Source organism: Homo sapiens, chromosome 1 (assembly GCF_000001405.40).
Source record: "Homo sapiens chromosome 1, GRCh38.p14 Primary Assembly".
Lineage (NCBI taxonomy): Eukaryota > Metazoa > Chordata > Mammalia > Primates > Hominidae > Homo > Homo sapiens.
In genome coordinates, this window is record NC_000001.11 from 230,046,080 (window position 1) to 230,073,171 (window position 27,092).

At 45.3% G+C, this 27,092-nt stretch overlaps 1 protein-coding gene and 1 non-coding gene across 4 annotated transcripts in view, besides 7 other annotated features; one reads left to right on the forward strand and one right to left on the reverse strand.

Annotated features, from left to right (window-relative positions):
• Positions 424–924: an enhancer, noted in NCBI's record as "H3K27ac-H3K4me1 hESC enhancer chr1:230182250-230182750 (GRCh37/hg19 assembly coordinates)". NCBI's record gives its function as "activates a minimal SCP1, AML or CMV promoter by ChIP-STARR-seq in naive H9 embryonic stem cells {active_cell/tissue: H9 hESC(naive)}" and the evidence as "EXISTENCE:reporter gene assay evidence [ECO:0000049][PMID:30033119]".
• The window catches only part of GALNT2 (polypeptide N-acetylgalactosaminyltransferase 2), a 224,334-nt gene continuing 208,951 nt past the window's right edge, over positions 11,710–27,092 (forward strand). For 2 of the 3 annotated variants that reach the window (NR_120373.2, NM_004481.5), the window contains exon 1: positions 21,159–21,327. Coding sequence is in view for 2 of the 3 variants with exons in the window: in NM_004481.5 (NP_004472.1) it covers positions 21,202–21,327 (126 nt within the window). In the remaining variant the exon portion in view is untranslated. Of the gene's footprint in view, positions 12,000–21,158; positions 21,328–27,092 lie in introns of those variants that run through there. The other variant, NM_001291866.2, reaches the window with a different exon arrangement.
• Positions 12,197–12,697: an enhancer, noted in NCBI's record as "H3K4me1 hESC enhancer chr1:230194023-230194523 (GRCh37/hg19 assembly coordinates)". NCBI's record gives its function as "activates a minimal SCP1, AML or CMV promoter by ChIP-STARR-seq in primed H9 embryonic stem cells {active_cell/tissue: H9 hESC(primed)}" and the evidence as "EXISTENCE:reporter gene assay evidence [ECO:0000049][PMID:30033119]".
• Positions 15,759–15,820, reverse strand: LOC124904748 (U7 small nuclear RNA). The gene has a single exon (XR_007067307.1). It is a non-coding gene; the product is annotated as a U7 small nuclear RNA (small nuclear RNA).
• Positions 20,375–20,534: an enhancer, noted in NCBI's record as "active region_2708". NCBI's record gives its function as "activates an Ori minimal core promoter by ATAC-STARR-seq in GM12878 lymphoblastoid cells {active_cell/tissue: GM12878}" and the evidence as "EXISTENCE:reporter gene assay evidence [ECO:0000049][PMID:35858748]".
• Positions 20,665–21,474: a silencer, noted in NCBI's record as "silent region_1936". NCBI's record gives its function as "represses an Ori minimal core promoter by ATAC-STARR-seq in GM12878 lymphoblastoid cells {active_cell/tissue: GM12878}" and the evidence as "EXISTENCE:reporter gene assay evidence [ECO:0000049][PMID:35858748]".
• Positions 21,915–21,974: a silencer, noted in NCBI's record as "silent region_1937". NCBI's record gives its function as "represses an Ori minimal core promoter by ATAC-STARR-seq in GM12878 lymphoblastoid cells {active_cell/tissue: GM12878}" and the evidence as "EXISTENCE:reporter gene assay evidence [ECO:0000049][PMID:35858748]".
• Positions 22,889–22,968: an enhancer, noted in NCBI's record as "active region_2709". NCBI's record gives its function as "activates an Ori minimal core promoter by ATAC-STARR-seq in GM12878 lymphoblastoid cells {active_cell/tissue: GM12878}" and the evidence as "EXISTENCE:reporter gene assay evidence [ECO:0000049][PMID:35858748]".
• Positions 25,419–25,599: a silencer, noted in NCBI's record as "fragment chr1:230207245-230207425 (GRCh37/hg19 assembly coordinates)". NCBI's record gives its function as "represses an EF-1alpha promoter that drives an FKBP-Casp9 reporter gene in an ReSE screen in both phorbol 12-myristate 13-acetate-treated (for megakaryocytic differentiation) and untreated K562 erythroleukemia cells {active_cell/tissue: K562 | K562(+PMA)}" and the evidence as "EXISTENCE:reporter gene assay evidence [ECO:0000049][PMID:32094911]".

Here is a 27,092-nt window from a genome sequence, read left to right on the forward strand (position 1 = left end):
GTTTTCTGGAGTAAAAAAGAAAATTGTCTGGCCAAATATGTTTGAGAAATCTGGGCTTAGCAGCAGTTAAACAGGTTCTTCTATTGCAGGACTTCTCAGGGCTTTTGACACGCCAAAATCTCTAATGTACCTGTAAGGGGATTTAGAGTGTATAACGTTTCCCAAACGTATTTGATTACAGAGCATCTCATGATTCAGGTGCTCCACAGAATACTCTTGGGAAAAGTTGGGGTGTGGACCTTTCTGTTCCGTTTCCCGGTATGGTGCTGCTTTCTCAGGTTATTGGGAGGACTGCGGGAGCTCCTCCCTCCTGGGCATCCACTCGCGTTTCTCAGGTGAGGAGTTGCTACCTGGGCCTCTCTGTAATCATGTCAGCTGCAAAGGAAGCTGAGAAACAATCAAGGAAAACGCCTGCTGCGGATGTCTCTGAGTTCCAAGCCCCCTGCACTAGGATCTGATTGATCTCCTCTGTTTAACTTACAGTGTTTGATTTCTCGTGCTTTTGAGCTCTCAAGGCTGCTTTAACAATGCTGTTCTTGAAATATGCTGATAATTTCCTTTGAGACAACTGGCCTGCTCATTTCAAAATGACAGGTTTTCTCTTTCAGTACTTTAACTGTGAGCTCTCTTTGATTGAAGAAGAAAAGTTATCTTCTCAATTCTCATCCCCACATGAAAGAACATGATGGGAAGAAGCCTTTGAATAATGAGCCATGACTTCTACTTCAAACTGCTTGCTCTGTTGATCCAAGTGGAGAACCTCTTTCCATATCAGAAGCCAGTCTTGGCCATCCCCCTACCTAACCTCACTCAGCCTTTAATAAGCAGGTAATGGCATCTGCTTCCAGGGAGGAAGATGCTCCGTGATGACTGGTCTTTAAGGACAGAAGAGTGGGCCAACGTGTTGATGTTTTAGACCATTTGTGTTACTATCAAGGCATACCTGAGGCTGGGTAATTTATAAAGTAAATAGGTTCAATTGGCTCGTGATTCTGCCGACTGGAAGATTAGGCATGTGGTGAAAGCCTCTGGCTGCTTCCACTCATGATGGAAGCTGAGGGGCAGCCAGCCTGTGCAGAGATCGTAAGGCAAGAGAGAACGCAAGAGGTGCGGGGGGAGATGCCAGGCTCTTTTTTACAACCAGCTTTGTGGGAACTCATACAGCAAGGACTTACTCATTACCTCGAGGATGGCACCAAGACATTCCTGAGGGATCCGCCCCCAAGACCCAAACACCTCCCATTGGTCTCCACCTCCAACACGGAGATCAAATTTCAACAGGAGGTTTGAGAGGACAGACATACAACAATAAGGTGAAGATTACTTGGAGAAAGCTGGAGGCCTGAGTCCTCAGCACTGTGCAACTGACAAAGAAGGAGGGGGAGAAGGAGAAAGAGGAAGACGAAGAAGAAAAGAAGAAGAGACGGAGATGTTTGTATTTTTGTAGTCCAAGTTCTTACAGAACAGAGTTCCTGGTTAGGCAAGGCTTTAAACACCCTGAAATCAAGGACTGGTCATTCAGTAACGCTGTCTGCAATGCCTGTGATGCTGGGTATGAGGTTGCATGCAACCATAGTTTGCTGGAGAACAAGAGAGAGATGTATGAGGCAGGGCTTTAGCCCTTCATGACCTTACAGGATAGTAGGAGTGACGGATGGGTACAAGAGTCATTACCATGTAATAAGATATGGGATCTATGTGTGCATGGTGTACTCAATAGTAGAGCAACACTTAGTGGAGAGAGTTTCTGTGGGCTGGGTCTGCAGAAGGCTTTATGCTAGTGGTCATCTTTGAGCGAAACCTTAAGGTTTTACAGATAGTAAAAGCAAGATGTATGTCATGACATTCACTGTGATCTCACCAGTGTCTGTTTCCTTCCACCTCTCCATTGCCTAACAGAAAACCAATTTTAATTCTGGCATCTACCTCTTTCCATCACAGGCTAAGCACTTTTGGAAATGCTTGACTGACCTTAAGCCAGTCAGCACTGTCCATTCCTCTGGCCATTTCATTATTTTGGTGAGAGTACTATATTAATTGTATTTTCTTATTTTCTGTATTCTTGATGCTCTGACATCTAGGTCCTCACTGACTGGAGAGAGACTGCCTCTTCCAGGGCTCAGAGATAGAGTAGCAAAAGGTCCACCCAGGTCTTTCATAGGCAAACTAACAAATCCAGAGCTCATACTCTGAGCCACCTCTCCTATCTGGCTCTTGCACTCCAGGAAGCAATATTCCTGTGCCTTAAATCATCCCAGGGCCTGGTACAGCCAACCTGGGCCAGCCCCTACACTCCAGAGCCCATTGAAATTATTCATACTAGCCAGTCCTAAGCCTGCTTACTGTGCCTTGCCTAACCTTTCCTGTGGAAACCACAGTAAAGGGTCCTGGTCATGCTTTTCCCTCTCTCCCATTGCCCTGAGATCCAATTTGGTGTTTCCGCCTGCACCAGCAGGGATTGCTTCATCTCAGGAACTGTGAGTAACAAACTATCTTTTCAGTGGTGGTCATTGCATGACCTGTTGGCCTCATCATACCTGAATAATAATAAAGCCTACACTTTAAAACAAGTATGACTTAAGTCCGTGCAATCAGGGTAAATTTCTGGGGTCTGCTTGGAATTATGACCCAGAAGCACTCTCTCTCTTCCACTGGATATCAGTGAGGAAAGGTTATGGCCCTTGTTGTACATGGCAGGCATCCAAAAACCACAAGAGGAGCCACCTGAGCTGGACAGAAGACTAGAGAGGCAGACACAGCCTTCTAGGACATCACTGAACCTCCAAGCCACTGACCAACTACACCTGAAGTCCGCCTGTCTTGTCAGTCAACAGAGCTCCCTTTAGGTAGTTTAAAGCCTGTAATACAATAAAGACTATTCAGAGGCTCAGAGAATGGTGGGAAGTAGTCTCTGGGCTGCATTTACAGGGACAGCTTCCAGCTCTTCTTTGCAGAACTGATGTGAAATGGAAACTGTTGCTGCCATCAACCTGAGCAGCCTCTGCTTGGGCCAACGCAATGGATGCCCCTGGCCCTTGTCTTTTATAGCTGGCTTCAAATAGAGTGATCAACTCAGCTCAGGTTACCCAGGACTTTGCCAATTTTAGCACAGAAAGTCTCACATTCAAGACTCCCTCAGTGCCAGGCAAACCAGAATGGTTGGTCACCCTACTTCCCAATAGAAGTTATAGGAGAGTGCAACTGAGTGATAGAATCTATTTCCCCAGCAGCAAGAGGGACTGGGTCTTTTCATTGGAAAGGAGGAATTTACAATGTGGGGAATGACCAGAAATGTGGAGAGGATGTTTAAGCAATTTTGAGCAGTCAAGAATGACAAATGTATTTAATACAATAAAGCATCATACCTAGACTTTCCAGGTCCATGAGCAAGATGAGGCACTTGCAATTGGGCTTGCAACCAGAGCTCCCTACTTGATACAGAGGCTTTCAGCAGCTTCTACTAGAGAGCTGCTGTGCTGAACTGAGAGCGAGTACCCTGGTGTTATTCACAAGAGAATGAGGTCCGATGTCTAGGGCTTTTCTCATAGGATTGCAGATTTACCATATTTTACCTTGTGGTGCCAGGGACAAAGACATGAAAAATAAGCAAATAGATAGGAAGGGGGGCAATAAAATCTACTGTTTATTAAATGAAAGAATGAATTTAATTTTTTAACCCTTGATGACAATGAGCTATGCCACCTTCTTGAGAATGTGGCACCAAAGTCCAGAGGACAAAGTAATAAGACTAGAAGTCCCTGAATACATATCTGAATGAAGTAATGAGGGAGAGGCATAGAAGATGGTGTTTCACGAGTCGTTTATCAAACTGTCTGCACTGCAGCATTCAGCATCTGGACCAGCTCTGTCAACATCACTTGCAGTTGTTGTTGAATCACATGTGACATGACAAGTCCCCAACAGGTCTGGGCTGACAGCCAGCCTGCCTCCACTGCAGTGACACCTAGTGCAAAGCCTGTATTTGGGACTCAGCCTATAAAAGAGGACCACCCACCCCTGTCCACCACCACCACAGTTGCCTGCCACCATTGTAGAACAAACTACAGGAGAATGTCACACATACCCTAGGGGATACGTTCACTCTGCTCTTTGAAAAGTCTTTGCATACACTGTGTTTCAGGTGAGCCCCTCCTATGTCACCTGGAGAGATAGGCAGGATAGGCATTGTGATGTCCATGTTAGAGAAAAGCAAGCTCAGATCCCAAGAGAGTACGACACGCCTGCTGTGATACCGTTTGTCACAGGTAGCTCTTTGCCTTTGATGGGTGAGAGAGGCAAAGAAGGTGGCAAGACTAGTCTCATCTGTTAAATGTCAGTCATCAAAACCAAAGCTGAGGCCAGGTGCTGTCACTCACACCCATAATCCCAGCATTTTGGGAAGCCAAGGTGGGAGGATTGCTTAAGCCCAGGAATTCCAGACCAGCCTGGGCAACATGGTGAGACCCTCATCTCTACAAAAAAAAAAAAAAAAAAAATAGCCAGGTGCAGTGGTGTGTGTCTGTGGTCCCAGCCACTTAGGAGGCTGAGATGAGAGGATGGCTTGAGCCTGGGAGGCTGAAGCTGCAGTAAGCCCTGATTATTCTACTGTACTCCAGCCTGGGTAATAGAGCCAGACTCTGTCTCAAAAAAAAAAAAAAAAATGACAACAACAACAAAAAACCAAAGTTGATACTTTTAAAATATCAACTTTGATATCAACTTTTAAATATTTTAAATATTTTTAAAATATCGACTTTTAAATATCTTAAAAATATTTCTAAATATTCCCCAACTTTGGGCAGATTCATTTCATTCTGTAGCAAATTGGTTTCTGCATTTGGGCTGAACCACTTGATAGACATATACTCTGCAGTTATATATATAATATATATTTTACACTCTATAGTAAGTTGCCTGAAGTGCCCAATATATTCTAAGAACATGAAAGAAACGATACCAAAATAAATTATTTCCATCAGCCCCTTGAAAGTGTCTGAGACCTCACTTATTTCTCTATTGTTCTGCCTCATTCTGTGTAATTGCACTGGATAAAACATTACCTGGTCTAAATTGTCTTGTCAATAGAACTTTCACTTTCTCTTTTTTGTGCCTCTGCTTCTCATACTCCTATAGCCATTCAGACCCTGGCTTTGTTTTCTCTCATCTCTCCTGAGCCCTCGGCTTATGTCCACAGGGACTGGCTCTCTGTGGAGGAGAAAGGACTGGCTCTCTGTGTGGAGATTTCTGGCTCTCTCTTCAAGCTCCCAACTCTGCTCTGTTCTACTCACCCCAGCCCTCACCTTCCAGCAGTGCATCTAGAATGGGCCCTTCTGCCATATTTGCATTCCACGGCTCTCTCATTCAGTCCCCCACTGACCTCCCCCAGCCTTCACTATTTGAAGCAGGGTAGGCATTTTCCTTGATTCCGCCAAGCAGATTTTCAATTCCTAGGATTCTGTAGTTGAGCCTCAGGGATCATTCCTAAAATCTTTTAGGTGGTGAGAGTGAGAAGCCACCTGAGACCAGGCCTGGGAGGGCCAAGGTTGACCTTGTCAGGGCTGCAGTGGAGAAAGCCAGATGTTTTAGATGGCCATGAAGCCAAGGGAAAGAGATCGGGAGGCTCTGAGAGGCCGCGTGGGAACCTGGTTCTTGTGGAGATCCCAGTTCTGGGAACCAGCCCTTTGGAACCTGACCAACTTTCCTGTACTTGCCCTATTTTGCTTAAGCTGGGGAGTTCTGTTTCTTGTACCTCTAATCATGGCTGCCTCCAATCTCACCTTTAATTTGCTGGGAAGCTTTAGCTAACGGCACCTGCCCCACCTTCACTGCAGCTTTATTCTGCCTCTAACTTTACCATGTCAGGAAGAAATCTGATCTAATCTCATCTCTCTGTATTATGGGCTGAACCGTCTCCCTCTAAAAATTCACATGTTGCAGTCCTAACCTCCAGGACCTCAGAATGCAACTGTATTTGAAGATAGGACCTCTAAAGAGGTAAGCAAGTTAGAATAGAATGAGCTCATTAGGGAGGGCCCTACTGCAATATGAATGCTGTCCTTACAAGAAGAGAAGCCCGGGACAAAGATGCACTCCAAGGGAGGACCATGTGAGGACACAGAGAGAAGATGGCCATCTGCAAGCCAAGGAGAGAGACCTCAGGAGAAACCAACCCTGCTGACACCTCAATCTTGAACTTCCAGTCTCCGGAATTGTGAACAAGTAATATAGCTGAGAGCAGCCACCAACTTTTCATTGCTCAGGGAAAAATCTTGGAACCAAACTTACCTCCTTCTTTCTCCCAAACCCTACCTCCCACCCATCAGGAAATACTGCTGGTTCCACCCTCACTGCTGGCTCTTCTCTTCTGCTTGCTCCCACACTGGTCTCAGCACCAGCAAGCGGAAGAGTTTCCCAAAAGGTCGGAAAGACTGCTTCTGCCCCTGCCTTGTGTAATCAAACTCAACACAGCAGCCAGCATCAGATGTGTTTGCTCTTCTGCCCAAAACCCTCCACTCAGAGTAGAAGCTAATCCTGAAAGCACCCTGCAGGATCCTACATTCTCCAACTCACTGTGACCTTCTGACCCAGCTCCGACCTCTTCCTTCTTATTCTCAATTCACCATGCAGGCTGGACAAGCTCTGCCTCAGAGACTTCGCCTGACTGCTTTAGCTCCTGCATGGAAGGCCCTTCTCCCAGGTGCCTGCTTGGCTGATTCTCTCACCTCCCTCTAGTCTGGGCTCAGATAACCCCTGCTCACCATATCCAGGGTGGCCACTGAGTCCGCACTCACTGTCACTCTCCCCTTCCCTGCTCCACCTGTCCTTGTGTGCAGTGTACATGTGACCTTCTAACACACTACAGGGGACCCTTGAACAACATGGGGGTTAGGGCACTGACCCCCTTCGTGGTCAAAAATCCACGTATAACTTTTGACTCCCCCAAGACTTACCTACTAATAGCCTACTGTTGACTAGAAGACTTACTGATAACATAAACAATTACCACATACTGTGTATATGTCTTAAATACTGTGTCCATACAATACAGTAAGCCGGAGAAAAGAAATTATTAAGAAAATCATGAGGAAGAGAAAATACATTTCCTATTCATTAATTGGAAATGGATGATCATAAAGGTCTTCATTCTCATTGTCTTCATGTTGAGTAGGCTGAAGTAAAGGAGGAAAAGAGGAGTTCTTCTTGCTGTCTCAAGGGTGGCAGAAGATCCACATATGAGTAGACCTCATGTGGTTCAAGGGCCAATTTGTATTTACTCTACCTACTCATTGTGTTGAATGCTTACTGCCAGTCCCTCCCTTCCCCATCCACCACTGCACTACAGTAGGAACCCCAGGAGGGCAGGGACCTAAGTCTGGTTTTTTTTTGTTTGTTTTGTTTTGTTTTTGGAGACAGAGTTTCGCTCTTGTTGCCCAGGCTGGAGTGCAGTGGTGTGATCTCGGCTCACTGCAACCTTAGCCTCCCAGGTTCAAACGATTCTCCTGCCTCAGCCTCCTGAGTAGCTGGGATCACAGGCATGTGCCACCATGCCCGGCTAATTTTGTATTTTTAGTAGAGACGGGGTTTCTCCATATTGGTCAGGCTGGTCTCGAACTCCCAACCTCAGGTGATCCACCCACCTCGGCCTCCCAAAGTGCTGGGAATTACAGGCATCAGCCACTGTGCCCGGCCTGGTTTTTTTTGAGACAGAGTCCACCCTCTCACCCAGGCTGTAGTACCAAGGCACAATCTCAGCTCACTACAACTTCCACCTCCCAGGTTCAAGTGATTCTCGTGCCTCAGCCTCCTGAGTAGCTGGGATTACAGGGGTGTACCACAACACCCGGCTATTTTTTTTTTTTTTTTTTGTATTTTTAGTAGAGATAGGGTTTCAGCATGTTGGCCAGGCTGGCCTTGAACTCCTGACCTCAGGTGATCCACCTGCCTTGGCCTCCCAAAGTGTTGGGATTACAGGCGTGAGCCACCGCACCCAGTCTAAGTCTGTTTTGTTCCCTGATGTAACCCAAGTTTCTAGAACAGTGCCTGGCACAAAGCAAGCGCCTAATAGAGAATGGCTGATGGAATAAATAGAACTTCTCACTAAAGTCCACCCATTTCCTTAAGTCTGGGGCTATGGGGGCGTCTTTAACCATGAGTCTCCTTTCCTGCCTAAACCTTCCCACTCAAGTCCAGCTGCTGCTGCTTCCCAGCCAGCTCTTGTTTGATTCCTCCCTGCTCCCTCAGAGACCTGACTGGAGCTCAGATCTGCCCCACCCCATCCAGCTGCAGAGCATGGACTCGTCCCCTTACCCCAACAGGTCCTGAAATCACCTATTAATCTTTTAAAATGTTGCTTTTATCCTACCACTCCCTTGCTCTAAAAAACCCACCACCCCTCTGTCAGCTGTTGGATCAAGTTCAGGTATAGCAGCCTGAGAGCCAAGCTCTCAGATCCAGGGCCTATCCTCCTCCACCACAGCTGTCTGCGGTCGAGAACGCCTCCCAGAATGCTCACCCTCATGTCTGAACCATACCCATCCTCCAAAGCCCAACTCAAACCCTCCCCTCGACCCTTCCTTGGAACTCCAGCCCACACCGATGGGTCCATTCTCTGACTTCTCCCCACAACAATTGAGGGCAGCTCCTGATTTAAAAGTTGGATTAATGCAGCAGGAGATTAAGGACAATAAACCTTTTATCATTTGGAAATCCCCAAGAGATTTTGATAGCAACTAGACTTGCTCCCCGCCATATATATTACATTTAAAATTTTCTGTTAACCTCTTAAGTGTCCATATCCAGCATTTGCCACTTTATTTATTGCCTTACTATCTATTTCACATGTGCGTGCTCTGTTTGTCAAACAAGGGAATAAGTTCCTTGAGGGTAAAGGCTGGTTTATACAGTGATACGTTGATTAGAAATTCCTTGGGAACAAGGCTCATTTATTCAAAATCGACTATGCTCAAAAATAAAAACAAAACATCTTCATAAGTCATTCTAAGCAGAGCTGCCAGCTTACAGCTGCATGTCAGAAATATTTCAATGCACAGTTTCTGTTTGTCTCTACCGATTCTGAAGTTAACGAGACCCGTCTTGGGGAGAATCTGCAGTCTGAGAAGTTTGCTCTTGGCATGCAGAGCCTCCTCATTTCCAACTTGAGCTTCCGCAGCACCATTGTCAGGCCCCTGAAAAGCGCACATCTCCACCTCCCCACCTCGCCAACCTCCTGCAGAGTGGATAGACCTAGGAGACTGCCCTTTATCTTCATGGATGCATTGAAACTGACTCCCTCTGGACTGTGTGCACTGCACTCACTCTTAGAAGGTGTGAGATTTTTCTGAAGGCAGAGATGTTCTTCACCTTCTTCATCCGTGCACTCCAGTAATCTAGAATAGAGCTTGGCAAAACGTAAATACTCAATAAATATTTGTGGAATCGGTGATTGTTATCTCAATGGGCATTTATACTTTCAACCTTTTATCTCCAGTTGTTTCATAAATTGTTGAGGACTTGTCAATTACCTACATGGGAGAAATGTTCTCCCTCCCCACACCTTCTTAAGCAAAAATGCCCCTGATGTTTCAATTAGGCTGGTCAATCTGACCTGTAGCTGGCCTAGCCTCCCTCAGGAGGAGGTGATTCATGGAGACTTTCCCATTGTCTTTCCAGCTCACTGCCTGGTTCTTGAAGAGGACAAGCTATGGTGGGATCCCTTTCTCATGGCCCATCGTCATCATGTCTACAGACTCATCCAGCCCCTCTTTTGAGCCCCCTTCTCTCCAGGGCTCTCCTCTATCACTTACCTCTGCAAAGGTCAAGCATTCATCCTTAACAATGACCTAATTCTGCCCTCCCGTCCCCTCCCTAGGACTTCCAAATGCACCATTTTATGTTGCTCTATTTGGGATCTGATTTAAGGACTTTTCTTAGTAAAAACCTCTCTTTTCCGACATCCTGAAGAGTCCCATATCATTTCTCTTCCTGGTTCAGAAGTTTCTAACAAAGATAATCTGCCTGGTAAAGAAACCTGCTTGCTAACGGAGCTATAATTTGGGGTGCTTTAAAAAAACCTCCTAGTGAATTATATCCAGGACAAAAAATCTTCATGGAGCTAAATTTAATCATTAGCAGCTCAAGGACAGGAACCCATAGTGTACATTTTCATTTTTTTTTCTCACTGTTTGTAGAAGTCCTAGGCCCAGCACAGACCTGTAATAAACACCTGTTGAATAATTGTTGAATAACTGATTGATTGACAGCCTGCTGAGCATGCCAGATGTTTCTGTCTGGCTACAATGTCTGGGTTTTTCTTTTCTTCTATAAAAATTGTTATGATTTTCAATGCAATTATTCACCAGATTTTCCTCATGTGCCTTTATTTTTCTTTTTCTCCCAGCTTTTCATTTTGAAAAGTTTAAGTTACAGATACAAGTTGAAAGAACAGAATAATAACCCCATTATGCTCTCTACCTGGATCCAACAATGAGTGTTTTCCCACATTTGTTTTTATCTCTTGCTATATCTATGCCTATATTTGTATAACTCTCTACAATATAAATACTTTCATTGCTAGGTCATTTGAAATTAAGTTGTAGACATCAAGAACTTTACCCATAAATACTCCAGCACACAGCTCCTAAGAATGAGGACATTTTTCTAAGTAACCACAATAGCAATATCACAGCTAAAAAATTAATAATAACTCCAAAATATAATCTAATACCCCTTCATTTATTCTTAAATTAGAAAAGCTTGCCTTTTGATCAGACAATGACTTTGCTTTCCAAAGTGGAATTGTGGTCCTAGTTCCCTACAGATCCATTAGGATTTATAGGTATAGTCAAGATGTACAGTTCACATAAGATAGTTGCATTCTCTGGTTCTGGGATGACAAAGGGATGTTCAGGCCCCCAGAATGGGCTGTTTCTAGGGTAGACCAGGTCCATCATCAAGTGGGACCAGGGAGATGTTGCTTTGGGACTCTGAGGGTTGCCATGAGCCCTACATACCTGTTAGAGTTTTTAACCCCACAGCTCCACAATGTATGCTTGCTCTGTCTCTTTCTAAAATCCCTGTTTCTACTCTCCTTTGTCTACTTGCATTGGCAAATGGAAACACTATACACTAGTCAGCTCCACTCTTGGCAGTTCTGATTCAGTAGGTCTGGGATGGGAATCTCGAGAAATTTTATTTTTAAAAAGCTCTCCAAGATCTGCAATCTGGCAGGGGGAGGGGGGAATGGAAAATCCCTCATGAGTTACGTGGTCTGCCTACACAGCTCTGCACATCTTATGTATATGTGTTTGTGGGTTTCTGTAAAATGTCTCCAATTATCTTTGGAAGTGAGTGGAGTATAAACTATAAATAAACGAGAGACTTTCTCAGAACATCTATGTGCGGTGGGACCAGTCTTGGGGACTCTGCAGCTGAAGGTGGGGGACGGTGGAGAGAGACTGTGAACTTGAAGGGAGATGACTGGCTGGGTCTGTGTTTGGTGCTGCCATTGGCTAATTACATGGATGGTTTTGGACAAGTTGCCTGACTTTTCTGAGCCTCAGTTTGTCATCCTCTAAGATGAGCAGAGTAATATGCACCTCATGAGACCTTGAGGTCGTGCATGTGAAAGTGCTTTGTAAACTACCTGCAGGAGTCTAAGTTGAGCCAGAGATAAGTTCACCCAAGAGCCCGGATCTGCCTGGGGGCAGGGGCAGGCACACAAGGAACTGGCTACCGGAGGAGCTGCGGGGCGTCTTGAGAAGAAGCTTACCCTAAAGGAAGGTAGCAACCACAGGCAGGAGGGGTAGGAAATGGGAAGGGGCATTGCTGGGGTTAGGTAAGTGTCGTCCGGGGCTAGGAGGATTCCGCTGGCTCCTTTCCCCAGGACGAAGGGAGGAAAGGGCTCTGATACAAGAGTGTACACGAACGAAAAGCACTGGCTGGAGATCATCTATGTGGAATGTGGACAGGGCAAGGTGCCCGTAGCCCCTATGGCTGACAGAGTAAGTAGAACTTCTCACTAAAGTACACGTATGTCCTTAAGTCTGGGGCTATGGGGGCGTCTTTAACCATGAGTCTCCTTTCCTAGCACTCCTGACACTGGCCTCCTCCTTCCTAGGCCCAACTCTCAGGCTCACTCAGGGGCAGCCTGGGCTGGTGAAGCATCAGCAGAGGCCGTAGTGCTATGAGTGCTGGCTGGCGGCACGGCGACATATTCCCTGGGAGCCTGAGATGAGAGGGTTACACAGCGGGGAAGGTGGGAACAAGAAGACTGCCTTTCAGCAGAATGTCCCCAGGATCCCCTAAGCCCCCGTGATGCTGTGCTCGGTCGCTTTCCTGCCCCACCCTCTCCAGATAGCTGCTGTCCTGCCTAATGGGAAGATTCCTTTCCCCCACCGGCAAGTGTGCCAAGTGCCTCCTAGTGACTCAGTCTCCCTGACTCTGCTACTCGCTGAGCTGCCTTGGGCAAGGCACTTAACAGCACCCTGCTATAAAACTGAAATAGTGAGAGCATTTACTTGATAGGACTGTTGCGAAGATTTAATAAAATAATACACAAACAGTGCCTGGCATATGGTAAGCACATCATTAATGTTTATATGTTCAGGGCAATCGATTCCTTTAACCTAAATCACATTTGATAAACTATTTCTCAGTCACAATTCAAGCCAAGCAATTTCTGGGAAGACAGCAGCAGGTGGTTAACACTGTCCCCGGGGTGTGGGGATTTTGAGCTTAGTGTCACTAAGAGCTGCTCACTGAGGATAGAACTGTAGTACTTCAAAGTGTCCCCTCTCATTAAAGACAGCCCATTGTGGGTCCTGGGAGTATGACAGGGCCTGGGCAAGCTCTTCCATATCTTCTTTTTATAATAACCTCCATAGAAATGTGCTTTCAGTTTGGTGGGAGGGGCGTGCGAACGAGTTCCCATTATCCAATTTCAGTGTTTAATATTTTGTTCCTTTTAAGCAGTCATAATTTTGTTTCTCCTTTTCTCCTGATTGGGTATTGTCCCCCTTTAAAGTATTTTAGAAAAAAGGAAATTGGACAATCAGATTATAAGAAAGGTTCTATTGTGCAAAGTCACAATGTATCATTAAATTGTACAGGGCTCCCGACAACTCTGACAACAGTAACTGGTACAGTGAATTGGCAGCAGAAACGCTGAAGCTGTATTTATGTGCTGCTACAAATATGTAGCTATTCTTACTGTACTATACAGTCAGGAAAAAGCCCTAAGGGCTTCTGGCATGAAAATGTTACATTGATAAATGACAGCCACGGTGCTGAACAGTACTAGGGGCTGACAAAAGGCAAGTCAATGTATATAGAGTTTCCTACTCATTACCTTACCTGTAAACACTAGAAGTCATGCACAAGTGTTTGAAAGTGTCTGTGGAGATGTGTTAGGAAAGTAAATGAAGGTAGAAGAAAGACAAGGAGCGGGTGTTTATATGCCAGCCGTCTAGGGAAGCAAGTTGTAGTATCTTTTAGACGCTTGGGCTGTGGGGTTGTTGCAATGGAATGTTTTTAGGTTTCTGCCTTTTATCTAATCAGCAGAATGAAACTTCAGGGTCACCATATTGCATGTAAAACCACTTTTAAAGAAAACGATTTCAAACTTACCAAAAAAGTTGCAAAAATAGTGCAGAGAATTCACCTATGTCCTTTACCCAGACTCGCCATTTTAAAATATTTTGCCACTTTTTTTTATCATTCTCTCTCTATATTTTTCTTGAATCTTTTGAAAGCAGCTCGTGTATGTCATGCCCCCTTAACCCTTGATACTTTAGTTTATATTTCCTAACAAATATCATATTTCCTAACATTCTTCTAAGCAACTATAGTACAGTTAGCAAAATCAGAAAATTGGACATTATACTATTTACCATAGTGTACCATGGTATATCAGACTATGCTATAGTCCGTAGTCCTGTTTTATTCATTGTCCTACTCATGTTCTCCATAGTATTTTTACTTTCCACTACAGGGGCTTTATTGCATTTAGATATCATGTCTCTTCAGGTCCATTAATCTGGGACATTTCCTTACTCTTTCTTTGTCTTTCACAATAGCCAAAGTGACATTTCTGAAGAATACAAACCACTTACTTTACAGAATGTTCCCCATTTTTTTCCTGATATTTATTCACATCCTTGGCCAGAATACATATTTTCATTTGAATATATTCTCCCTTGGACACCTTGTAATTATTCTTTGTTTCTGGGATAGTTTTTGTCATTATTTTCAATTTCCTTCTTGAATTTGCTCAACCCTTGTTTATATACATCCTTGGCCAGAATACAAAAACCATGATGCTGTCACCTTCTCAGAGTCTCTCCGCAGACTCAGGATATCCATCTGACCCTCATAAGTGATGCTAGTTTTGGTCACCTGGCCAAGGTGCTGCCTATTTCTCCACCAGCTACTAAATCCCCCATCCCCTCACCACCACCACCCCCACCCAGCAGTGAATAATATGTCTATTATCCAACTAAGAAATGTCTGTTGAAAGACATTTGAAGACCTTGTAAATCTCCTCCTTTTCATCAAACTCTTCCTCCCCTAACCACTTCAGCATCCATTCAGGTGTCTTCTCCAAACAAACCTTTACTGCGATGGTTGTAAGATGGTGATCCACTCTTCCCTGAATGTCTATCAGTTGGCATTCTACTCAAAGAGTTCTCCTTTTGTCCATTTATTTATTATCATTGTGTATGCCTAGATTTCTACTTTATTCAGTGTTTATTTTGATGCATATATGGTCTTAGATTTAGCCAGTGGGGCCCCTTCAAGCTGGCTCCTATGTCCTTTTAACATTGTGCTCTCTCTCTCCTCTGCTTCTCTCTTTCTCTCTCTCTCGCTCTTTCTGCCCTTCCTTACTTTCTAGTACAACAAGATGCTCCAGGCTCATTTAATACCCTCTCAACCCCAGTCCTGGAATCAATAATTTCTCCAGTGAACTCTTACAGTGGAGAATGGTATTTAGAAACCAAGATCTGGGTGCAAGGGGTGCTCATTGCTACTGGGATATTATTAATCGGGGCCCTTTAAGTGGACAGATCTAGGAAATATGTATGTATATTTGTTTAAATATGCATACATATGAGCATAGATGTGTGTGTGTGTGTGTGTGTGTGTGTGTGTGTCTGTATGAAATAATGAGTTCATACCGCTATCTCTAATTACAAATCTACTCCACAGGAATCTTTCTTGCCTTCTTCCATCCCATTCTGTATCTCCCTTCTTCCATAGTGAAAAGCCTAGCTCCCCAAAACAATGTATTTCCTGATTTGCTCAATTGCATACCATGCATAAAATAATACAATTGCTATACCCATAACACTATGAAAAAAATAAAGGGCTTTAAAATTCTTTCCAGTTCTAGGCTGAGAGCACATAGCTGGCATACTTTGTTTAAAGTTATGAATATTTTTTTAAGCTTTATATTATTCATTTATAATATAATTGGATTCAGATATTTCTGTTTGGATTCAGTTTTTATTCCTCTCCCCTCAGCTTTCTTGATTTTATTTTGTTTTTTTAATATAGAGAACACTATCATGTTTCCAAAATTTAAGCCTGGAAAAACAGTATACTCAGAGAAGCATCAATTCTTCTCCTATCCCTTCTACCTTTCCCTCCCACCCCTTCTAGGTAACCAACTCAATTGTTTTCTGGTTTACCACTATTGTGTATGTGAGTGTGTATGTGTGTTTTGCCAAAATATGCAGATACATGTGTCTTTTCTTTTCTGCATGGAGTGCTTTCCAGTGAAAACCAGCAAACCTTCTACACAAGTTCTAAAAGAGCTATAACACTTACATGTATGTTTTCTTCTAGTCCCTTCTTTGTTACAGATAAAGTAGCAGATGATACATACCCTATTGCAACTTCCTTTTTTCATTTAACAAAATATCCTGGATATTACGCTATATGTGTTCACGGACGTCTTCCTTATTTATTTATTTATTTTTGTAGTCTTGCCAACAGAATGTTTTGTCAAACTTTTGATTTTTTACCGGTTTGATGGGAGGATAAATAGTATGTTTGTAGTTTTAATTTACAACTCTATTAAGAGCAAAGTTTAATGTCTTTCCATATGTTTATGGACTCTTTGTAGATCTTTACTATGAATTGTCTGTTTATGCTTTTCGCCATTTTTTATAGGAGATTTGGGGTTTTTCCTTAATGTTAAGTACTTTATATGTCAGAGATATTACCTTTTTATCTATAATGTTGTGGAAATAATTTCTCCCAACTTGTCATTTGTAGTTTTTTCAAATTGTGATGAAATATACATCACATTAAATTTACCATCATAACCATTTTAAGTGTATAATTCTGTGCCATTAAGTACATTTACCATCCATCTCCAGAATGTTATCATCTCAAACCGAAACTCCGAACTCATAAATAATAATGGGAACTCCTAATTCCTCTCTTCCTCAAGCCCCTGGTGACTGCCATTTTACTTTTTGCCTCTATGATTTTGGTTACTGTAGGAAACTCATATAAGTGAAATCATTTGGTATTTGTCTTTTTGTGTCTCGCTCATTTCATCTAGCATATTGTCCTCAACGTTCATCCATGTTCTGGTATGTGTTAGAATTTTCTTCTTTTTTAGGGCTGAATAATATTCCATTGCATGGATATACCACATTCTGCTTGTCCATTTATCTGTTGATAGATATTTGTGTTGTCCCACCCTTTGGCCACTGTAAATAACACTGCTATGAATGTGGATATACAAATATCCGTTTGAGTCGCTGCTTTCAATTCCTTTATGTATACAACCAGAAATGGAATTGCTGGATCATATAGTAGTTCTAAATTTAATTTTTTGAGGAACCACTATACCATTTTCAACAGCAGTGCGTAAGGGTTCCAATTTCTCTACATCCTCACCAACACTTGTTATTTATTTATTTATTTATTTTAAAAATGTTTTATAGGCTGGGCGCGGTGGCTCACACCTGTAATCCCAGCACTTTGGGAGGCTGAGGCAGGTGGATCATGAGGTCAGGAGTTTGCGACCAGCCTGGCCAATATGGTGAAACCCTGTCTCTACTAGAAATACAAAAATTAGCAGGGCATGGTGGTACATGCCTGTAGGCCCAGCTGCTTAGGAGTCTGAGGCAGGAGAATGGCTTGACCCCAGGAGGTGGAGGTTGCAGTGAGCCGAGATTGTGCCACTGCACTTTAGCCTCGGCGACAGAGCAAGTGTCCACCAAAAAAAAAAAAAAAAATTTTATATAATAGCTATCCTAATGGATATGAAGTGGTATCTCACTGTGGGTTTTTGTTGTGTTTTGTTTTTTATTTCCATAATCAACACTGGAGGTACATTACAGTTTGTCCTCATGAATTCTAGTTGTTCTCATGAGGTACATTTTGTCCTTGCAGTTTTGACTTTGTCTTTGAAATGCCCCATGTCACATCTAGCTATTCTTCTGATTCCCAGGTCTAGAAACTACAGTGACTTCAGACCTGCCCCATGTACAATGGAAAGACTTCCATAACCTTTTTTCTTCTACCTCTAACATTGTCTAAAGTTTAATCTCTATCATACATCGCTTATTCCATCAAACTAATAATGATTTTACTTTGCAGATCAAATCCTAATGATATACAATTGATAAGTGTTTAGGAAGGGAAGTTTTGGGCTATAAATTGTCCCTCTTCATCTCATTTAATGCTTTTTGGCCTACTCTGTTTTGTTTGATATCAGAATCACAGCACCTGCTTTTTCAGAGTTGGGGTTTCCGTTATGCCTACATTTGAAAATCTTTTATTTTAAAGGGTGAACTGAGCCCACTTATAAATTGTTATATCTGATGTGGGTTGGTCTCAGCTGTGTCATATTGTTTCCTATTATAACTACTGCATCACTGTGCCACACTTACTGTGTTTCTTTCATTATTTGGTATGTATTCTTTGCTATTTTTAGAACTTTTGGGGTTTTGGAATAGGGTTTCCAATATTTGGGAATACATATATTTTGTTGTAGTGATTTTTATTTATATTTTTAATATATTACCCTTAATTCCTATATTTTGTTTCTAACCTTTTAACATCTGGTCTGTCTGTTTTATATGGTATCCTTTCACTACTACCTGCTACTGATATTGCAGACAATGATATTATTCTATTTTCCCTTCGCTCTTCCCCTTCTCCTCCAGTTGTCTTTAGTTGCACCTGTTCTAAGTTTATCAGAAAGTATAATGTATATACACTAGTCTTTCACCTTCTGAATATACAAAATGCTCTCCATTAGTCACTCTGCTGGCTTCCTCAGCTGTCTCTTGGTTGGAGGAAGCTCATTCTCTAAGATTCCTCATGAAAGGCCCATGTGAGTCACGTTCTCTGAATTTTTGCATTCAGGTCATATCTGTTTGCCTACAACCTTGACACTTGAGGGCTGGGTATAAAAATCACTGCCTGGTACTTTTTTGTGTGTGTGTCATGGAGTCTCGCTCTGTCACCCAGGCTGGAGTGCAATGGCATGATCTCAGCTCACTGCAACCTCTGCCTCCCGGGTTCAAATGATTCTTCCACCTCAGCCTCTCGAGTAGCTGCGATTACAGGCACCTGCCGGCTAAGTTTCATATTTTTTTTAGTGATGGGGTTTCACCACTTTGGCCAGGCTGGTCTTGAACTCCTGACCTCAGGTGATCCACCCACTCTGGCCTCCCAAAGTGCTGGGATTACAGGCATGAGCCACTATGCCCAGCCTGCCTGGCACTTTTGTTCCTTGTTAATGCTGCTCCACTGTTGCCTGGCTTTGCATGTTGCTGTTCAGAAGTCTGATGCCAGCATAAATTTTTATCTCTATAAGCAATTTGATCTTTTTTGCCTTTAAAATCTAATCGTTTTACTAAAATATATTTAGGAGTTGATAATTCCAGATCATTTCCCAAGGTACATGGAAGTCACTTTTGACATGTACATTTAAATTTTCCCTTATTCCTGGATTATTTTCTGGGGTTATAGTTTTAATATTAATTAGGTTTTATTGTTTAATGTTTGTACTTTAGGGACTCCACTTAACATGTATTTTGGTCTTCCTTTCCTGGCTTTTATTTTAACCTCTTCTCTCTGAACCTTTTTACTTCTATCTTTATATTATTTTCAATTTCTTGATTGTTTTCTTGCCATTCTTCAGTGTCCTTTTACATATTTTCATTTGAATATATTTTCCCTTGGACACCTTGTAATTATTCTTTGTTTCTGGGATAGTTTTTGTCATTACTTTCAATTTCCTTCTTGAATTTGCTCAACCCTTGTTGCATTTCTTCCTAATTTTTGTCTAGTCTGTCTTCAGTTCTTGAAATTTCTTATCCTAGATATGTGTGTGTGTGTGTATGTGTATACAAATACGTGACACTTTGTTCAGTTTGACATGTGGTATTACAATTTTCTTATGCTTCATGGTTTTTATTGTGGGGGTTTTCATCAGCGAAAATGTTATGATTTATTTTTTATCATCAGAAATGTGATTTCTGTTTTCTTTTTGCAGAATCTTTAAATGCAGTTGATTTGATGTTTTTCTGTTACTAGGCATTTTGAGGCAGGGTTCCCGGTTCAAGAGTGTTTTCTTTTATCTGTGTACTGAAATGCAGTTTTTAATAGATAATGTTGGTGTTTGGGGAGGGGACTGGCTGTCTTCTCTTTCATTTCTGCAGGATTTGTAATTTTCCCTTCTGACTTCCTTCTTTCCCTTCATTGTCAGGCCTCTGAAGGACATTATCTTCTTTTCGTATTTATCTGACTTTTTCCCAGAAACAAGGCTCCTTCAAGCCTCTCACCTCTTGTCCCATTTTCTTTCAAATCTCTTCCCTTGATCAATAAGGCACCTGACCTCTGTTCAGTTTTTAGTTCTTGGTGTTGGACTTTCTATTTATAAAGAGGTGACAACCCTGTACTTCACTTAAGTCCTTGGCAATAGTGGAGGGAGCTCAGTTGGAATTTGGTATCTTTTCTTTCTTCTACTTAAGTAATTTAATGTTCAGTTCATGGCATTCTCTCTAAGTAATGCTGAAGGCTTGTTTTTGTTTCGTTGAGGATATGGGTACGGACTTATATCAGGCAGCTGCCATTATCCTCTGACCGAGAAGCTCCTGAAAACATTTAATATATCAAGTTCTAAGTAAAATTTCTGTCTTTCTTAGGAACACTGGAAGCTTTGCGTGTTGCAAGGGCATCACCAAGGTTACATAGATTATGTTACAAGACAGATCGTTTTCTTGTATCGTTAAAGATGCTTAATGTGCTTTTTAAAGAACGCAACGAATGAGAAAGAAAAGATTTTAAACAATATATTATTGCTTTCCTTCTTCCTCATTTTGTGTTTATTGAAAAGAACAACTCTACCATTGATAGCTCTGTCACCCACAGAAAAATGTTCTTTTGAAAATTACCTTCTCAGTTCCTACCAACTCAAAACCTCCACATCTGCCTATATAGATAAATAAAATCGATACCAGCGGGTCAGGAATGTTTTGCTGCAAGATTAGTGAGAAAACTGCAGCAAGCAGCAGCAAAGTCGGGTTCAAGCGGGCGGTTTGCACCAAAAACTCAGGTCAGTTGGCCAATAAGAGCAAGCCCGTTAAGGGTCTGAGGTGGCCCCAAAGACCAAGGCTGAAGAGGTGACAGTCTGGGCAGGAAGCACCGAGGCCACTACCGCCCCCGTAATCGAGAGGCCCCGTGTGCGTGAGCAAGGCTCTTTGCCCACGTGTGCGCGCGCTCCAGTCGGGTCCCGGGGCAGCCACCTGTCACTCACGGGGGAGGGGGCGGCCGGCGGGGGGAGCACGCTGAGGGGCGGGCGGCCGGGGGCGGGGCGGCGCCCAGGCCCTCACGGCGGAGCCCGGCGTGCTGCAGCCATGGAGACGCGGCAGTCCCCTCCCGCGGCCCGCGCCCCGGCCCCCGCAGCCGCCGCCGATTGGTCGCCCTTTGCTCCCTGACCCCCCTCGCCGCCTCCGAGGCCGCTGCTTCCTGCTCTGGTGCCGCGCGGCGCCGCCGGCCCGGGGCGGAGCTCGGGCGCCGAGTGCGCGCCGCCGCCGAGCAGTAGCACCGCGCGGGAGGAGGAGCCGCCGCCGCGCCCTTCCCCTTCCTCCGCTCCTCCCCCGGCCCCCACCGCGCCCGCGGCCGGCCCAGGCAGCACTCGCGAGCAGCGGCGGCCCCGCCGGCGGCCGAGTTGGGAGAATGCGGCGGCGCTCGCGGATGCTGCTCTGCTTCGCCTTCCTGTGGGTGCTGGGCATCGCCTACTACATGTACTCGGGGGGCGGCTCTGCGCTGGCCGGGGGCGCGGGCGGCGGCGCCGGCAGGAAGGTGAGTGGAGCGCCCTGCCGCGGCCGGGCCCCTGCGCCCACCCCCCACCCTGCGCCCCTGTCCCCTGCCCTCTCCGCGCCGCCCCTGCGCTCCTCCGCCCGGACCTCCGCTCGCGTCGCCCGCCCTCGTCCCGGGCCTCCGCGCCGAGTGCCCAGGGCAGGGGTGCACCCGGCCCCTCTGCGCACGCCGGGCTCCGAAAGGGCGGCCCCCGCAGCCTTTCTCTGCCCCCTCTCGTGGACGTCGCCCCTCTCTCTGCTCGTCGTAATTCGAGTCTTGTCCGGCCGCCGGGAGCCCCATCCCCTGCGGTTGGAAGTTTAGGGATGGGGGTGTTGGGAAACACAAAGGGGGTGGGGAGGAGAGGAGAGAGAGGCGACCGCTTTTCCAACGCGTCATGTACAGCAGGAGAGAGGAGTCCAAGTTTCTTTTCAGCCCTTTGATACCAGCGGCTGCAAATCCTCGTCCCTTTCCCCCTGTCACTCCGCGGGGCGTGGGTTCCGTGTTTCTGCCACCTTCTTTGCCCTTTACCTTTGGGGGGCAGGGGCGGCCGCTCCCGTGCCAAGTAAAGCCCCAGGGCCCGTGCGAGCCAGGGGCCAGTGCGCCCCTGCGCCCCGAGCGAGGCCAGTCCCGGCCGTTCCCTTGCGGCCCCAGCGTTACCCTCTGCCCAACCCGGCCCCCGGCCCTCCCGCGCGAGCCGGACGTGGCCTCCTGCGCTTGCATTTTCCATCCCCACTCCCCGCTTCAGGGAGAATCCCTCTTCTGTGGCTGTGTTTTTAACATGCTCCAGGGGCCGAGTGATCTGGCTGTGGGGACCGTGTGAGCCGCTCTGCGGTTCCGCGTCCTCGTGCCGCCGCTCCGGACGGCCGGGCCCTGGGCATTCGGGAGGATGGTGAGCGCCGAGAGGAGCCGGGACAGCGCGGTCCTGCGGCCGAGCGCCGGCCGGGAGAGCAGGGCGTCGGGCTGTGTGCTGGAGCATGCCGGCAGGGGACGTTTGTAGTGTTTTACTGGCTCCTCGGCTTTGAAAGCAGCGTTATCTTTTCCGAATTCCTGTAACCCTCGTTACTGTGACATTTAGTGTCACCGCAAACCCAGAAAATTCTGAGTTAATGGAGATGGACTACGGGTGGTTGGGTTGGAACAAGAGAGTGGTATCCTGAAACAAGCCAGAGGGAACTAACTAGATGAACAGACTTCAGTTCTGAAGTCAGACCCCTAAATGTCCACGCCGGGGTTTGGCTGCTTCAGAGGTTTTTTCTTTGCTTCATTCATTCATTCATAGCCGAAGATGTTAGGTGGAATGGGTGCCTTATGTGGTTTCTGGTAAATTACGTGGATTTGTTTTATCTAGAAGGGCAGAAATAAAGCCCTCTTTCCACGTGCTGAATCGGCCTAGCTTCTGAGCTGACATTGTACTCTTAGCGTTGTTTTTGTAAAAAATGGTATAGGTAGTATATGTACGCGAAGACTTGGTTTATTCTTGAACAGCAAAGAGCATGCAGGCAGCAAAAGCCGTGCAGTCCATTCAGAGATATAATCGTGTAAAACTGGAATGATTTTTAAAACTTTGCTTCCCGGTAAACTGTGCCTTGGCCACTCTGCATAGCCTGGTGTGCTGGTGAGACCTGGCAAAGCTTTCTGCCTTTCATGCAAAGAAAACCAAACACATAAGCCACCCTTGGCGTTTCTCTTTCCTTAGTCTGCCACTTTCATTAGTACACGTGATTAGAAAGAGCAAGCGTGCTCGTTCGCCTCCCGGAGGCTGATTCCTCACTCTGGTGGGCTTCAGTTCCTGGATGGTGTGAGGGGTCTTCCATGCAGAAGTCTTCAGACACTCCTGAAGTGTGTGATTCTTAGTTTGTTTTTTTTTGTTTTGTTTTGTTTTGTTTTGTTTTTTTTAAAGAATTCCTGGTGGCAATATAGACAGGTACGGAGACCAGGTAGAAAAAGTGGGGGAAATGAACAATTAATTACACATGGATTGGTGATTTGGGATTCTATTCTTTCTGTCAACGAACCATAAAATTTAATGCTACCCCTTAGGATGCTTTAGTGATTTGTCGGTTGAGGAAGAGGTGTGTAAATGCAATAGCTTTTGAAATTGCAGTGGAAGACTCATTAACTTCGTGTGGTGGACCCAGGGTTAAAGAGAAGCCTTAAGATGGTTTCTGAAGGAGGTAAATAGAGCCCTGCTGTCACGAATGCCTGATGTATAGGAAAATCGTGTAGTCTTCTTTCTTCCCCAATTGTTTCCATGGATTTAGACACTAGAAGTGTCTCTAAATTTATTTCATTCTCATACCAAAAAAAAAATGTGGTTTGTTTGGCTTGTAAAGTATGGACATAAAAAAAGATAGCGGGCCATGCACAGAAAGGCAGAATTTAAAAGCTAGCTATAGTTTTTTTAGAGATAAGTGGACCTATATTTTTTCTCTTGCCTCATACTGTTCAAGTCAGGGCTTTTATTCCATATTTAGCCAGTTTCTGCACATCCTGACGTTTTTCATAGGGTACTAGGCTGCAGTATTGGGCTTTAGGGATCGTCTGAGGGGAGTCCAACTAGGATTTCTGCTGCTTCAGCAGCCCAGCCCAGGCTTGTCATTGTGTGCCCTGCCTGTTAAGTAACTCATCACAGAACTGTTATTCTCCACTTGGCAAAACCCAGAGAGCCAGCTCACCTCAGATTGCAGGTTTAGTAAACTAAGCAGGAGGGAGTGCTGAAGACCAATCTCAGGCACTGCCGCACAACTCGGGACTCAACACCCAGGCTCAGGACATGTATGTTAAAGCAGTTTATTCAAAATATTGTTTAAAATTATGTTTCATTTACATTTGTGTCCATACCCTTTCCCCCCATATTTTGCTCTTTCCCCCTAAATTGATGATTTGCACTTCAAGCGTGCCTTTCCTTTGAGCTTCTTAAATGCTTTAAAATTTTAACCATGTTAAGTCTCCCCTGGGCTTTGGTACGTTGGCAGTGGATGGAGCCGCAGAAGAGAGGAAGGGATTTCTCTGGAAATGAAGCTGCCTGTGGGTGAAGTGTGGCTGTTTAGGGTGGAAAGGGAAGGGTTTTCTCTCTGCTGTAAGAGTGTGTGGAGCCTGAGACCCCTTGCCTGTGTGCCTGCATGCTGGGAGGTAAGGGACGGTGTTAGTTGAGGGACATGATCCGGAGCCCTGGGAGCCTGTCCACTTTGCACAGTAGCATCACCCTTATTCCCTGAGCTGGCACGAGTCCTGTGGCCCTTGCCCGAGAGTCCAAGGGTGGGGGACTTTGGGTGGGATCTTCTAGGAATCATGCGGGGAGGCGGGCAGGTTATTTCTTGGAACAGTGAAGGACCTTGCCGGGCTAGACCATGGTACACATGGAGGGGAACGTTAGGGTGTAAAGTTGGAGAAATTCAGAACTAAATTGTAACGGGCTTCAAATGCCAAGCTGAACCATTTGGGAACTAGTAATGTTTTTGAGCTAGTAGTAGACATTAAAGGGAAATGGCACAAATCCACTTATTGGCATTGAGTGAGACCTAGCTGTTTACCTCTTTGTGCTTAGTGACCTTCACTGATGCATTGAACCTCTCTGACCCTCAGTTTCCTCATCTTTGCAGTGGGAGTAATCATTCTTACCTCATGGCCTTGTTCGGAGAGTTAAATACTGTTAGTGGGTGCTGAATAACTGCTATCTCTAAAAGAGGAAAATGAAAAAATAAAAGCCTAAATATCCCCTTGAAAGTGTAGTGAACCAGGAATCTTAAGTTCACGGTATTCCTGATACAATTCTTGATTTCTGGAAAATAGTCGTCTTTCTTTTTTTTATCCGTTACCCCCACCTCTGAGATTGATCTGACTGGTTCATTTGGGGTTTGGGCTATGAATCTTAAATGCTGTTAGAGACGGACTTTTTGGGAAGTTGTCCAGACACCATGCCAGCTCTCTTGTACCCAATTGTGGTGTCAGAATGGGGATCCCAGTAGTGGGCAGCCATCGGGAATGTGGGTGGAGGGTGCAGCTTGCCTTGGCGGTTAGGCAGTTGTAGTGTCCAACAGTGGACAGACGTGTCCCTGAACGAGGGGTTCCTGTGGTGGGATCCCAGGTTCTGAGCTCCACTGCTCTCCCTCTGTAGCCCTGCCCCTCTTGTTAGAAGGGCAGGTCGCTGTGATCCCTGGAAGCATGCATGACTTGAGGTGGAGCATGGGGCCCTCACGTGGTTTAATGGGTGCCAAAAATCTGTGAGCATCTTGGTGGATGCGGAGGGGAACACCCATACCACTCCTTGCCACCTATCATCAGTTTGGAGTTTAAAGAAAGTCCACTTCAAATGAGAGTTTGAAGTTGACACAGGGAGGACAGTAGCAGGGAAAACCACTGTATAGCCAGATAATCCGACAGTGGCACTGTAACATAAACTTCTCTCTTTAAAGAAAATAAAGTTTCCCAATTCTGGAGTGAAGCTGTGGCTGCCTCTGGGTCAGCAAACATAATGGAAACAGATTGTGTGACTGCTGAACAGTGCAAAAGTAACGAGCTCTTCCCTAGACCCTTGAGCAAAAATGAAAAAGCAACTGCTTTACCCAGCACTGAGTGGGGTCAGCTTGCCCAGGCTCTGTTGGACCTTGGGGTGGGGGACACCTGGGAGGCTGGTGAAGGTTTTATGAGTCTTCAGACCCGCTGTCAGTTTCCCCACCCTAGCTCCTGTTTGGATGAATGATGGGTGAGTGGTTGGTCTCCTGTTTGGAACAGAGGAAGAGGTGGTCAGAAAAATGATGGGAGAGGGGGTGGGGGAGATTGGGTTGGGGAAGACATAATTTCTTCTTGCTACTGCTCATGTTTCTTAGGGCTTTGGGGAGAGGGAAGTCAGTTTGGGAAGATACTGATTTTAGTGTCAAAGCAGGCAAGGCCACTGTCCTGCCTAACTTCTAGCAAGTCCAGAGGCAGTGGGCTTAGTGAAAGCAGGTGTGGTGGGGCGGGGGTGGCGGGGGGTGCGGTGAGGCTGCCTGGGACAGAGACACAGGTGTAAGCAGGAGTCGACTGTGAGGCTCTGGCTGAGATCCCAGGAAGGGAAGCTAGGTATTCCTGGGAAAAGCCTGTGAAGTCTCCTGGAGTGCCCAGCAGAATTCACGTGATGAGAAAACACACAAACCTGGCCAAGTCTATGCTCCCTGTTGGTTTTTGTGCTTTTGTCCTTGTGAAGCCTCTTCTGGAAGCTCTGCATGGGTGATGCTGAGCCGTACAAGTCAGTGGATATCCAGATGGAAACACACTGGCTTAGCCATGCCACTCACATGTAACAGTGGGGCACTTCCATGCTGGTTGTTAAATATGCTCTGCCTTGAGACCCCCTGAGTGCCCTCCGGTTCCTAGCTGCCCTGGTCTTTCCTTGGGATCTCTTTCCCATGTTCAGCAATCAAAGGGTTGAATCCTGACACTTGAGGGGCCTCTTGGACCCACTTCTGTGCCTGTGCCATAGTGAACATGCTGATTGTCACCCCTGCAAATGTGCCACTTGGATAGAAGGAGGCCTAGCCCCACTTCCATGATGGGAACAATCCCTTTTCCCTCTGAGTAAGTCTTGATTCACTGTTACTGTTGAGAGTTCTGGTTCCACCATTGTAATCTTGTGGCCTTGCCTCTAGACTGCCTTATGGGTGAGGTGTTTTTAAGGAGGAGGGATGTCTTGGTACTTCCATATGCAAACCCCCCTGAATGGGTCTGGGATAGGCTGGGCCTGGCGGGGAACTCTCCTCTATGGAGAATTACATTGAATTCATTGATGT